Here is a 14,267-nt window from a genome sequence, read left to right on the forward strand (position 1 = left end):
ACATAATGATTCTTCTGATGAATCTTGGCAAAGTCAATTGGAAACCTTCTGGAAAGGATTCACCATTTTACATGCCATAATAACATTCATGATATATGAGAGGAGGTCAAAATATCAACATTAACAGGAATTTAGAAGAAGTTGATTACAATCCTCGTGGATGACTTTGAAGTGTTCAACACATCAGTGAAGAAGTAATTGCAAGTGTGGCAGAAATAGCCAAGAGAACCAGAATTAGAAGTGGAGCCTGAAGATGTGATTGAATTGCTGCAATCTCATGATAAACCTTGAGTGGACAAGGAGTTGCTTCTTAAGAATGAGCAAAGAAAGCAGTTTCTTGAGATGGAATTTATACCTGGTGAAAATGCTGTGAACATTGTTGAAATGACAACAAAGGATTTAGAATATATTAGTTGATAAAGCAGCAGCAAGATTTGAGAGGATCTACCGTGATAAAATGCTACTCAATAGCATTGCATGCTACAGAGAAATCTTTCAGGAAGAGCCAATCAATTTAGCAAACTTCATTACTGTCTTATTTTAAGAAATTTCCACAGACACCTCAGCCTTCATCAGTCACCACCCTAGTCAGTCAGTAGCCACCAACATCCAGGCAGGACTTTCCACCAGCAAAGAGATTATGACTTACTGAAGGCTCAAGTGATCATGAGCATTACATTTAGCAATAAAGTATGTTTAAGATATGTTCATTTTATTTTAGACACAATGCTATTGCACACTTAATATACCACAGTATAGTGTAAACATAACTTTCATATGCACTGGGAAACCAAAACATTTGTGTGATTTACCTTATTGCAATATTCACTTTATTGCAGTGGTCTGAAACCAAGTATTTCTAAGATATGCCTGTATCTTTATCCCAAAGAAGCTTGAAATTTTTATCTGATCAAATCTGTCAGCCTTTTCATTTATGGTTTCCAGGTTTTATGTAAAATTTGCAAATATATTGTCCACCTCATAATTTAGAAACATGTTTACTTACTTCTAGAATATTTGGAATACTTTTTAATGTTTAAATCTATAACACACATGGAATTCATTTATTGGTATATGATGTGAGATGGTAATTAAGAGATATAACACTGGTAGTTTTTTTCTTCATGATTCAAAATACTATTTTATGTATGTTTTCCAGTATATACAGAACTGTGTCTTATCACATTTCTTTATCCATTCATCTGTTGATAGAGACTTAGGTTGTTTCTATGTCTTAACTACTGTGAATTATGCTGCAATGAACATGTGGATGCAGATACCTCTTTAAGATATTGGTCTCATTTCCTATAAATTCATACCCCAAAGTGAGATTTCTGGATTGTATGTATTTCTGTTTTTAACTTTTTGAGGAACCTCCATACTGTTTTCCATAATGGCTGTACCAATTTACATTCCCACTTAGAGCATACAAGAGTTCCTTTTCCCCACAACCTCACCAACACTTGTTATCTCCTGCCTTTTTGCTAATAGCTATCCTAATAGGTGTGAGGTGATGTTTCATTATGGTTTTGAGTTACAATTCTCTCATGATTAGTAATGTTGATTGCTTTTTTTATAATCCATTGGCCATTATATGTCTTCTTTGGGAAAACATTTATTAAGATCCTTTGCCCATTTTTAAATCAGATTATGACATGCTTTTGTTTTGTTTTGTTTTTTTGCTATTGAGTTATGTGAGTTCCTTATATATATTTAGGTAGTAACCCTTATCAAATACATGGTTTGCAAATGTTTTCTCCTATTCCGTAGGTTGCCTTTTCATTTTTACAATTATTTCATTTGCTGTACAAAAGCTTTTTAGAGTGATGTAGGTCCACTTGTTTATTTTTGCTTTTGTTCCTGTGCTTCTGGTGTCATATCTAAAGAATAATTGCCCAGACTAACCTCAAGGAGCTTTTCCTCTGTTTTCTTCTAGGAATTTTATGGTTTTATATTTGACATTTAAGCCTTTAATCTATTTTGAGTTAATTTTTGTATATGGTGTAAGCCAAGCGTCTAATTTCATTCTTTTGCTTGTGGATATTCAGTTTTCTTAGGACCATTTATTGAAGAGACTGTCTTTTCTCCATTATTTATTCTTGGCACCCTTGTCAAGATTAAATGCCCCTTCTTGACATCTGTATTCAGCATAGTGATGTAAGTCCTAGTCAGAGCAAGTAAGAAAGAAAGAAAAGGCATCCAAATTGGAAAGAAGTTAAATTGTCTCTGTTTGCAGGTGACATGATCTTCTATGTAGAAAACCCTATAGACTCCATCAAAAAACTGTTGGAACTAACAAATGAATTAGTAAGGTTGCAGAATTCAAAGATCAGTTGTGTTTCTATGCACTAACAATGAACTATCCAAAAAATAAATTAAGAAAACAATCCCATTTACAATAGCAACAAAAAGAATAAAATAGGAACCAAGTTAACAAGAGGTGAAATATTTGCACACTGAAAACTATGACATTGATGAAAGAAATTGAAAAATATACAAATAAATGGAAAGATATCTCATGTTCATGAACTGGAAGAATAGTGTTAAAATGTCCATATTACCCAAAGTGATCTGAAGAGTCAATGAAATCTCTATCAAAATTTAAATGACATTTTTCACAGAAATAGGTAAAAGGAATCCTAAAATTTGTATTGAATCATAAAAGACTCCAAATAGTCAAAGTAATTTTGAAAAAAAAGGAAACAAACTGGAGGCATCATACTGTCTGATTTTAAACTATGTTACAAAGCAAGAGTAATCAAAACCATATGGTACTGTCATAAAAACAGACATAAACCAATGCAATTGAATAGGGAACCCAGAAATAAACACTCATGCATGTATGTTCAAGTAATCTTTGATAAGGACAACAATTACAGAATTTTCTTTATGTAGATGTTCCACGCATCCACTTTTCTTATCTGCTTTATTGAGCTGTAATTTGCATAAAACAAATTCATCACCTTAAGGTATAACCTAATTTGTTTTAACAAATGTGTGCAGTTATATAAATACCTCCACAATCATGACATGTATCATTTTCATCACCCCAAAGTCCACTTGCATTCTTCTCTCCATTCTCTGGTTCTCGACAACAGCTGATCTGTTTTTTGCTAGTTTGTTTTTTAAAAGATGGGGCCTCACTGTGTGTTCCAGGATGACCTTAAACTCCTGGGCTCAAGTAATCCTCCTGCCTCAGACTCCCAAATAAGTGGGAATACAGGCATATACCACCCCTAAACCAAGGTGTTTTTTTTTTTAATTTGCAACCTAATGTGTGGTCAATATTTGTAAATGTTTTCTGCCCCTTGAGAATAATGTACATTTGAACTATTTGTTAGGCTCTGGCTTCACTCCATATATATCTTTTTTATCAAGCACAACTTTCTTGTTTAAATTTGTGTCCATAGTAATTTAAATTTTATTTGCTCCATCAGATTTGCATACAAATGTGTTAAATTCTTGCACATGGTTGTATATTTGCCAATTCCTCTTTATCTTGTTGCTTTACTTTAAATATTTTGAGGCTATTTATGATTTGTAACTTTTTAATGGATGTTTTTCTTTTATCATTATACAGCATTCTGCTTTATCCCTGTTAATGCTTTTGCCGTAAAATCTCTTTTGCCAAGTACTAACATTGTTACACAAACTTTTATGATTTTTTAAAAATATTTTCCACTCACTTTATGTGATGCCCTTTTGTTCAGTTTTCTTTTATGTCTCTTGTAACTGCACTTAACTTTTGTAGTTTTGTCTGATATTCCTAGCTTCTTAATAGGTAAATTTCAATTTGTTTACATTTATTGAGTTTCCAGATGTATACGGACCTATATCTTCTGTGGTATTGTTGACCATTCTCTATTTGTATCTTTCGTGTCTCCTTCCTGCTTTTTAATGGATTGGTATAAAACTATATATTCTCCCCTTTCTCCCTGCTGGTTTGGAAATTAAAGATAAAATTTCTGTAAGCTTTTAAATTATGCCCCAATCCCAAAAGATGACAAGGATCTTATCATGGTTTCACTACAAACTGAACACCCCATCTCTACCATTTTGGCTATTGTTTAATATTTTATTTTTAACTATAAATTTTGAAACTATTATCATTTTTACAGTTGATATTTACTTAATTTAAAAAAATATTTTGTATACTCACCATTGTTCTTTTTCTTTGGTTTCACTTTTTGTCTAGCTGAAGTAAATTCTTTGTTTTTTCTAGTGAGTGATCTCTAAGTGGTAAACTCTGTAAGTGTTGGGTGTACAACTTTTTCTTTACTTTGATAGAACTTTTTAGCTACATTAAAAATTCCAGGTCGATAATTTATTTCTTCTCAGTATAGTAAGGTGATTACTATATTATTTCCTGGAATCTATGGTGTGGCTAATAACAATTATTCTCTTATTGTAACTAACTGTAACTTCTTGGTAAATATTCTGTCCTTTCTCTCTAAAAGCTTTTATTCCCCAAAATTTAATCACGAAAATTTTAAGCATACAGAAGACTTGGGAGAATTGTACACTAAACATCAATATACTTTCACATAGATTCACAATTAACATTGTATCATTCCTGCTTTATCACTTTTCTATTCATCTATGCATTTCTCTATCCACTCACTAACCGGTGGTCAAGTTTGAAACATTTCAAGGCTGCAGACGTTAGCACTATTCCCCCTCAACTACGTCAGAATGTATATCATTAAGTAGAGTTCAATGTATGTTTAGAGTTCTTTTGTTAAGATAAAATTTACAATGAAATGCACAAGTATTAAGTGTACCATTTGATGAGTTCTTATAACTGCATTTTTCTGCACCATCAAAATTCTTATCAAGATACAGAACATGATCATCACCCTGGAAAGGTTCCTTACGCCCTTTCTGGTGTATCTCCACCCACTATCCATCAGGGCAATCACTACTCTTCTTTTTAACTATGATAATTTGGCTTTTAAAAAACTTTATATAAATAAGGTTTTATAGCATATTCTCTTTAGAGTGGGATTTATTTCACACAGCATGTTTTTGAGATTCATCCATATTGTTGGATGTCTCAGTAGTTTGTTCTTTTTCATTGCTAAGTAGTGTACATTATCTGGATATACCAAATTTTGTTTATAATTCTCCTATTGATGGACACCTCGAGTTTTTTAAGTTTTTGCTATTATGAAAACTCTGCTGAGTACATTCTTGTAGGAGTCTTCCTGTTTTTTCGTATCTCCTGCATAAATACCTAGAAACAAAATTGCCGGGATATAGAGTAGATGCATCAGTTCTTTCCCCCAGGACCCATGAAAAGGATGGTGCAGAGCAAGCCCAGGTGGATGCTGCACTCATAGGTGTGTGCAGCAGCAGAAGAATGCTTCACTGAGGAAACCTATGGGATTATAAGGGGACCAATAGCAAACCTGCCCAAACCTTACCTCTGAGGGAGACATTATCTTTTTAGCTGGAATTTAAGCAATTCTCCTCTGGGGATATTAAGCAAATCTCCTCTGGGGATCTTAAGCAAATCTCTTCTGGAGGCATCTCCTCTGGAAAATTTCTAAGGAGGGAGATGTTCTCTACTTTATACTGGTCAGGGATACATTTGCCCTATAATCTGGAGGCTACATGATCTCTAGCTTCCAAGGCCGCTTTGGTATTCAAATATCCTTGAAGTGATACTCTGAGGCACGTAGAAATGCCATGGAGAATGGCCTCCCAGCAAATTCACCCCACATTTTTGCTTCTGGCAAATTTCCCCATGAAGACACCACCCCATCAGCCACTCTGATTATTCGGACCCATGGGTCCACATCCATTCAATTTTTTTCCTGCAACATTTAACAAATCTTGACCCAGTGCAGCGGCTCACTCATGTTATCCCAGTACTTTGGGAGGCCAATACAGGAGGATCACTTGAGGTCAGGAGTTCAAAAACCAGCCTGGACAACATAGTGAGACCCCGTATCTACACACACACACGTACCCACACACATTTCATAAACTGTAAACGATCTAGGTCCCTTATGAGCACCTCTAAGGTACAAGTCCTTATGTGAGGGAGGCAAGTTAGTGCCTGGCTTTCATACAAGAAGCACAATCCCAAGGGCACACGTGGTGCTCCCAGAAGGGAAGTGTATACAATTGTTGGGCTTCCCTGAGTGGGATGTACATTAGTAAGGGAGAAGGTGAACAGTGTCTCTTACGTGGCTCCTGGCTGGCTGTAAGCCTTGGGGTTCCCAGTTCTGTTTATCCTTGATTTGTTTGTGTGTGGCTGGGGAGAGGGTGGGCATATGGGGGACTGCTTGAGGACAGTCTGTCCAATCTGTCCTATTTGTCCATGTCACCAACCAGGTGGCAGTCCCCCCTAACAAATGACTGAGAATAGTGGTGGAGACTATGTCTAGAGGGTTCTGTGTGGGACCTCAGAAGCTGGGCCCAGCCCCTGCCATCTCATGGCTGGTGCAGAGAGGCTGACTCAGCATTCTCAGAGGCGGGAGCGCTGGAGTAGTGTGTTTTCCTTCTGGACAAAGCATCCTTGGGTTCTTCTGAAAGACAGATATCACCAATGCTCCTGTTTTCTCCCATACCTCTTTAGATGTCTGGATTTTTGCTCTTGCTTCACTGCTGCAAAATCTGCTATACCATTCCAGTGGCTGTACCTTCATCTTTTGCCCTAATTATCTCCTTTTCTCACTTAGACTTTCCATCTACAAAATTAGATAGAAGTAGAGGAAAAGCATTTTATAAAATGTGCCTGGAGTTAAATCTGAATCCCTAGGCACTTTGAAGGCCATAGCCACCAGGCTGGTAGGGGAAAGAATGAGGCATCATCCCTAGGAATGACCAGGGTCACAACAGAATCCTGAATTTTCAAGATAGGTCTACAGAACACTCGCAATCCCCACCACTTTTGTCCTGGTCACTATCCAGGAAGGAGATGATCCCTTTCTGGAGATTGCTCCCTTCAATGAGCCTACTGCCCTCCCATAGTGTGCGGACAGGAGGAGATGAGGGACAGTCAGAAAATCAGTGCACTGTGGAGTCACTTTTCTGATAAAGGGCACGTCAGACTGCAAATGGCCCAGATGGCCAGTTTGAGGACACTGATGAGTTTCTGGGGTCACCATAGCGTTCCTGGAGTCAGCTGCTCTGCAGCCTGAAGGAGGGCTGACAGTGTGGAGGCAGTGCTGAGATTATTTAAGGAAACTATATAGAAATTCTATAATGATTATGTAATTACATAATGAAAACTCTCCATATCAGAGTTCAGAATATCTCCCAATTTCCAACACAGAATATTATCCATAACACCATCAACCTCAAGGAGGATGTCCTCTCATTGCACATTTGAATTTACACAACAAACACTTGAAAAAGCAACATGAAACAGCAGTTATCATTCACTTTAAGGTGCCAGCAAGAGTTAATTTTCCATTAAAAATTTTGTTCAAAGGAACGTCATCTCCTGTAGTCTCTCCCAAGCCCATGGCCCAAGGCTCATGCAGAGGTAAAATATAACTCTGTACTCAACCTCCACGCTGCTACACTGATCATAAAGTATTTTGCCCCATTCCTGCGGACCAAAGTATGAAAAAAAATCTTTAATACTATTGGCATATAAAACTCAGAGAATTATATTTATACCTCTGCATAATTAACTTTATTCTCTTTGGTTTGAAGGAAAAAAGAGGGGGCATGGCTGGAGCAGAATGAGAATGAGAAGGCAGGAAAACAGCCAACAAAATGGTAAGCAGGCAAAGTGAAGTAGTTACAGCTTTTGAGTTTATTAGGGCACTGTCCATTGTATTCTGGAAGGCCTGCAGTTCCCCAGAGCCAGAGTTCTATACCTCCTGTATCCATTAGGATGTAGACTAACAGGCTGTGACAAAGAGGCCTGAGAATGCAATGGCTTCAACAAAATGGTTTCTAATGCATGTAATAGTCCAGAGGCCCACAGTTAATAGGGAGGTGTTATCATCCTCAGTATGACTTTCTTTCCTAGCTCAAAGTATTTTTATTAATTTGGAAAGACATTCCTAAGAGGGCTAAATGAAGAAATCAGGGTGTATGTGTATGTGTGCACAATAGTAAACATACATATATGTATAACCATATTTTATGTGAAATTCATACTTGTGAAGTATATTTTTATGTATCCTGATATACACATATGTAATTATTTATCTGTACATATAAAAAGACATAAATATAGAAAAATAGATGGCAGTTCATTCATAAAAATATATGCAGTGGTTACATTTGGTCAGTGTAATAGAGGTGATGTTTATATATTTTTATCTGTGGTTTTTAAATGTATGTGTATATATTAAAATATTATAAATCTTCAACATTTTTAATGAAAAAGTGTTATTCAAAAAGTAACATATGCAAAAAGAAAAGACTAGGAGAATATTTTTGCACAAATCATCATCTGGAGATAGCCATCCTCATCTGTGGCTATCTCCAATGGTGATGTTTCATATCATTTTATTTTCTGAATTTCCTGTAAATATATTTATTCTTTATAATCAGGCCCCTGAAATTTTCAAAATTTATTTTAGCCATGGTCTGAGGACTTCCATTCTTCTAGACGATGAAGGCTAAGTCTCATTTTCTAAATGATTGTCAATTTTGAATCAGTGGATCTAAATAGTAAGATTTTAGAGTCCTATTGAAAGTTATTAATTTTTACCAATCTTGCCAGTTGATGTGGCTTCCTGGTTGGTGGATGTGACAGCTTTGTTTGGAAAGAAAAAAAAGTGGCTGCGTGCATTTTAAGAATGGCTGTTTTCAAATTGAAAATTTGTTTGGACTCAATCATTATAACATTTTCATTTAAGTCTGAATCATTATAACATTCTCATTTAAGTCTGTGTGTATGTAGACAAATTCTAAGAGACTTCAATGTGCAATTAAATCCTGTGTGTAACTTAAAAGTCGACACTCCCAAAAGCAAAAAATGCTCTGGACACCTGCTCGAGGGGATCCAGAATGAGACCCAGGACTCCCTCACTTGCGTTTGTTCCTGCCTGACAGCTGTTGTTCTGCCCAGTTCTATTAATACATTTTCCCCTGCCTATCCCCAGATAATAGCAAAGCCGACGGCCAGGTGGTCTCCAGTGAAAAGAAGGCGAACGTGAATCTGAAAGACCTTTCCAAGATTAGGGGTAAGATAAAGTTTGTCCGCTTTCCCTTTGCCCTACAGGTCAATACAAATTTTACTGAGGTATTGACGAGCCTAGATCCACCTTAATTGTTTACTCATCAAGCTTAGTCAATTGGAGAGCAGTGAAATCTAAAAGAGCAAACTCATTATAAGCAGGGGTTGTAAGTTGATTGTATTCATATCATAGATCTTATCTGCCCAGTTTCTAAAATAGTTTTCCTCTGTGTTTTATCTCATTTTCCTGGAAATTCCTTTGCCTCAAATCATTGTTTTATTAAAATGGCTGGACCTGGTAAATTGTAAGCCGAATACAGGTTTATTCTCTCACTGCCCTTTCAAGTCCTCCTCCTAGATGAGTTCTTTCCTGTCTTGAGCAAGCTCTGTCGCTTTCTTGTTCCCTTTTAAAAACAGTAAGAGTCTCATTTCAGTAGTTGGGACCTTTCTGACCTAGTATTAAACTACAATGTCTTCCCCAGTTTAAAGCACCTTCGCTTCTTCAGCCTAGGCAAGCCTTAGTCTGGAACACATATAGTTGGGGGTGACATGGTCAGTGTCTTCTCTTATTCTGTCTTGGCCCTACCCCCACTCCATAGCTGTTGGCTTGGTCCCATCCAGGATTGGGGAGGTGAGAGAGATGGGTGAGATCAGAGTGTGGAAGTGTCTTGCCTGACAGGTGCAGCCGTGAAATGACATTGCAAGTGGTTGATGCACAATCACTAGCTCTTTCTTCCATGAGATGCTTTCATCAAGTCCACTGCAAGGGAAGGGGAGGGGTCAGGCATCACAGCTTGACTTATTTTGAAAGAAATAGAGCTTTACTTCTACAACCTGGATGTGAGTGAAGGGCTGAACCTGGCATAATCAGTTCCACCAACTCTTTCTAAGGTTACATATGTGGCCTGGTGCATTGTCCTAGGATGCGGGTGCTCAACTCAACCTACTTGCTTGGGACTTTCTCAATTTTCCCAATGAAACTCTCATTTCCAAGCCATAGGTCCACTTTGGGTCTGATTGGTCCTTTTTACTTTGGTGGCCTAATATGCTCATGATATGCTTAGAACTTATAGTACTTAGGAATGCATAGGCTGGAAAATATTTCCTCATGGGCCTACATGACCCTGATCAGCACCCCCAGATGGTGGTCATTGGATGGTGGACATCCAGCACAAGAAGGAAGGAACATTTTGCTTTCCTGCCTTGGAAAATAAAACACATTTGGACAATAGTAAACATTGAGATGCCCATTCACAGCCAATTAACATGCACTTGGGAGAATATCATCGGCTGCAGTGTCTGCCATGTCAATCCTTAATTACTATTTGGAATGAAGGCTGCGGAAATCTCAATTCTACCCATTCCTCATGGTTAACCTTCTTCTGATTAGTTTCTTAGATCCTAATATTTATTTTGTCCAAAGCCATGTGGACAAAGCCCTGGTCACATTTACTATTACTTTCAGCACGAGGGTACAAATATCTTCCCCCAATGTGACATGTGCAGCATACATCTCACCTATGGGACACCTAATAGGGTTTCCCTTAAGTCACAGAACTGTCATTTATTTGTGTCTCTGCTGAGAGAAACTGAAACGCCTTCACTTAATTTTGTAGTTTTGTCTCAATTTTCTCTGAATATTTTAGTTTCTGTAATGACGGTAATCATCATTTTGATCTTGCAAAGATTAAATAAATTAATGGATATGTAAGTGTTTAATGTGTATTATATGTCATATATATTTCAAATATATATGTTTGGAATGAAATATGAAATGAACCTTCAAAATATGGAATGAAGCATTTATACTTTTGCTTGAGATATACGTGAAATACTGATTTCAATTAGTTTTTTTCCTAACATAAGAATAGGAAAATGAAATATAAAGTGAACCTAACATTAGCTATCTAATTCTTCATACCTTAAAGGCTAGGGTTTAAATCTTTTTATTTATACATTAAACAGGCTTTTGGAAAGTTACATTTAAATGGAATTTTTGAAAAGCTGTAATATGTGTAATACAGCTGCTCATAAATGACTGTGATTATATTATTCTACTTTCTCAGGGAGAAAGAGAGGCAAACCTGGAACCCGCTTCACTCAGAGTGACAGAGCTGCACAGAAAAGAGTCCGATCAAGAGGTAAAAAAGAAAACAGGAATGAACTTTCAATAACTAAACATCTAATTTCCTGTGCGGTACACTGTACTTTCAGTAATAAACCCATTTCCTTAATTGTTTTATGAAGCTGTACTAACTAGTGAGAAATGTATCCTATTTAGTCATTTTCCAAAATGTGTCAAGGAAAGAAGGAAGTAAGTTGGTGATGGATCTACAACCAGATCCCAGGGGCCCAGGGGCCACTAAAGTGCTACTTTCACTGAAATGATAAATTTCAAGGCTGGAGATAGTTCATTGCCGTATAAAGGGTATAACCCATAAGTGATTTAACTGACCTTCCTCTGACTACTCAGAAAGCCACAGGTTGCACACTAAGGGTGAAAAAGAGTTGTGGTTAGAGATCTGTGTCCTAAGACTTTCTTTTTCTTTGTGTGGGCTTAGGCTGATCATTTGACTTTCTTTGTCTCAGTTTTCTCATCTGGAAAGCAAGAGCATGAATTAGGCCAACTATCTTTCTTTCTTTCTTTCTTTCTTTCTTTCTTTCTTTCTTTCTTTCTTTCTTTCTTTCTTTCTTTCTTTTTTTATTCTTTAAGTTCTGAGATACACGTGTAGAATGTGCAGGTTCTACAACCCATCATCTACATTAGGTATTTCTCCTAATGCTATCCTTCCCCTAACCCCCAAATCCCGACAGGCCCCGGTGTGTGATGTTCTGTCCCTGTGTCCATGTGTCCTTATTGTTCGACTTCCACTTATGAGTGAGAGCATGTGATGTTTGGTTTTCTGTTCCTGTGTTAGTTTGCCCAGAATGATGGTTTCCAGCTTCATCCATGTCCCTGTAAAGGACAGGAACTCATTCTTTTTCATGGCTGCATAGTATTTCATGGTGTATATGTGCCACATTTTCTTTATCCAGTCTATCATTGATGGACATTTGGGCTGGTTCCTAGTCTTTGCTATTGTGAACACTGCTGCAATAAACACACGTGTGTGTGTCTTTATAGTAGACTGATTTATAATCCTTTGGGTATATATCCAGTAATGGGACTGCTGGGTCAAATGGTATTTCTGGTTCTAGATCCTTGAGGAATCGCCACACTGTCTTCCATAACGGTTGAACTAATTTACACTGCAACCAACAGTGTTAAAGCTTACCTATTTCTCCACATCCTCTTCAGCATCTGTTGTTTCCTGACTTTTTAATGATTGCCATTCTAACTGGCGTGAGATGGTATCTCATTGTGGTTTTGATTTGCATTTCTCTAATGACCAGTGATGATGAGCTTTTATTCATGTTTGTTGGCCAGATAAGTGTCTTCTTTTAAGAAGTGTCTGTTCATATCCTTTGCCCACTTTTTGATGGGGTTGTTTTTTTCTTGTAAATTTGTTTTAAGTTTCTTGTAGATTCTGGATATTAGCCCTTTGTCAGATAGATAGACTGCAAAAATTTTCTTTCATTCTGTAGGTAGGCCAACCATCTTTCTTATTAGTCCATCCTGGTCCTAATAGTCTGCCTTTCTAAAAATTTGTCTCAGGACCAAGGACAGCTCCCCCGTTTATCATGACTTCTGTTGCCCAGGCTGGAGTGCAGTGGTGTGATCTCACTGCAGACTCCACCTCCCAGGATCCAGCAATTCTCCTGACTTAGCCTCCCAAGTAGCTGGGATTACAGGTGGGCACCACCATACCTGGCTAATTTTTGTATTTTTGGTAGAGATGGAGTTTCGCCATGTTGGCCAGGCTGGTCTCGAACTCCTGACGTCAAGTGATCCACCTGCCTTGCCCTCCCAAAGTGCTGAGATTACAGGTGTGAGCCACCACGCCTGGCCCTACACCTTTGGTTGGAAGGGAAGGATTCACTGCTCACCCTCCTGGAGTTCCTTTGAAGACCTTTCACCCCCTTCTCTGTGAAATCAGGTCTCCAGTCCCCCACCTGCAACCCCATATAATTTTCAGATTATTCTAGAGCTCCCTGAGCTCTTCTCTTAGCTACGGGGAAAGCAGACAGGACAGAGAAATGAACTAAAGGAGAGAACAAAAATAGAAGGCAGACATCATCTCCATTAGGTTATCCCATCATTACCCTCTCCCTGCTTGCCCCGTCAGTGCTCAAATGGGGAGACTGAATATGATCTCTGGAGTCATCTAAGGCTACCCACCTGCAGCAAAACAGCATAGCTGGAGAGCTTCTGTCAGAACAGTGACAGCAACTGTGTTTCATTGTCATATAAGAATCAGTGGAGCTTACGAGATTAGGAGTTAAACCAGTTTTACTGAAGTCTAATTTCTCTGCTAAAGCATTCTATTTTGTATGAAATTTGAAAGGTGAAATTGGGGTAGACATTCTGTAATTATGTATCAAAAATGCCACTTGGAAGAAAGACTTTGAAACTCTAGAGGGTTTTGGAATAGAATTTCCTAAGTATCCCTCGTGTCTTTATAGGAATTACCTCAGTAGGGAGGGGGGACGTGCCTTTGCAAAGTGAGACAGAATGAAGAAATCCTCTCTTTCAGCTTCAAGAAAGCACAAAGATGAAACTGTGGATTTTAAGGCTCCTTTGCTTCCAGTGACCTGTGGTGGGGTGAAGGGAATTTTACATAAGAAGAAATTGCAGCAAGGTAGGTTTTATGGTCTTCTTTAATTTGCAGCTCCTATCTGAAGGCATCACAAGTAGTGGGGAATTATCATGTGAATTACACATCATTCAAGGAGTTTGGTCCCAGTTTGGCTTGAGGGAAGGAGGAAGGGATTTCTAAGATGACGTTTACAGACTTTAAGAAATCGCAACCACCAGATGCTCACTTGCACATGGAATGTCCAGAGGGTGCCCAAAGAACCAAAGAGAAGGCAGGAACATCAATTCACAGATGAAAAATGTCACGTATTTTACTTTGAATCAGACAGAAAAATGAAGAGGCCCTCAACCTCGACCTTCATATTCTCTCTCCCTTCTGGAGTGCCATCACCAGGGCAGGGTGCTTGGTATAGGGAGATGATC

The 14,267-nt window shown here is 37.9% G+C and overlaps 1 protein-coding gene across 37 annotated transcripts in view, besides 2 other annotated features; it reads left to right on the plus strand.

The window, feature by feature from the left end:
* The window catches only part of SP140 (SP140 nuclear body protein), a 130,421-nt gene that overhangs the window by 90,527 nt on the left and 25,627 nt on the right, over positions 1-14,267 (plus strand). For all 37 annotated transcript variants that reach the window (XM_047443073.1, XM_011510517.4, XM_006712223.4 and 34 more), the window contains 4 exons: positions 7,669-7,734; positions 9,075-9,155; positions 11,215-11,289; positions 13,783-13,887. In XM_047443073.1, coding sequence (XP_047299029.1) covers positions 7,669-7,734; positions 9,075-9,155; positions 11,215-11,289; positions 13,783-13,887 — 327 coding nt within the window. The remainder of the gene's footprint in view (positions 1-7,668; positions 7,735-9,074; positions 9,156-11,214; positions 11,290-13,782; positions 13,888-14,267) is intronic.
* Positions 11,582-11,731: a silencer, noted in NCBI's record as "silent region_12408". NCBI's record gives its function as "represses an Ori minimal core promoter by ATAC-STARR-seq in GM12878 lymphoblastoid cells {active_cell/tissue: GM12878}" and the evidence as "EXISTENCE:reporter gene assay evidence [ECO:0000049][PMID:35858748]".
* Positions 12,694-12,894: a silencer, noted in NCBI's record as "peak4075 fragment used in MPRA reporter construct". NCBI's record gives its function as "represses an SCP1 promoter by STARR-seq MPRAs in K562 erythroleukemia cells {active_cell/tissue: K562}" and the evidence as "EXISTENCE:reporter gene assay evidence [ECO:0000049][PMID:32103011]".

This window comes from Homo sapiens, chromosome 2 (assembly GCF_000001405.40).
Source record: "Homo sapiens chromosome 2, GRCh38.p14 Primary Assembly".
NCBI lineage: Eukaryota > Metazoa > Chordata > Mammalia > Primates > Hominidae > Homo > Homo sapiens.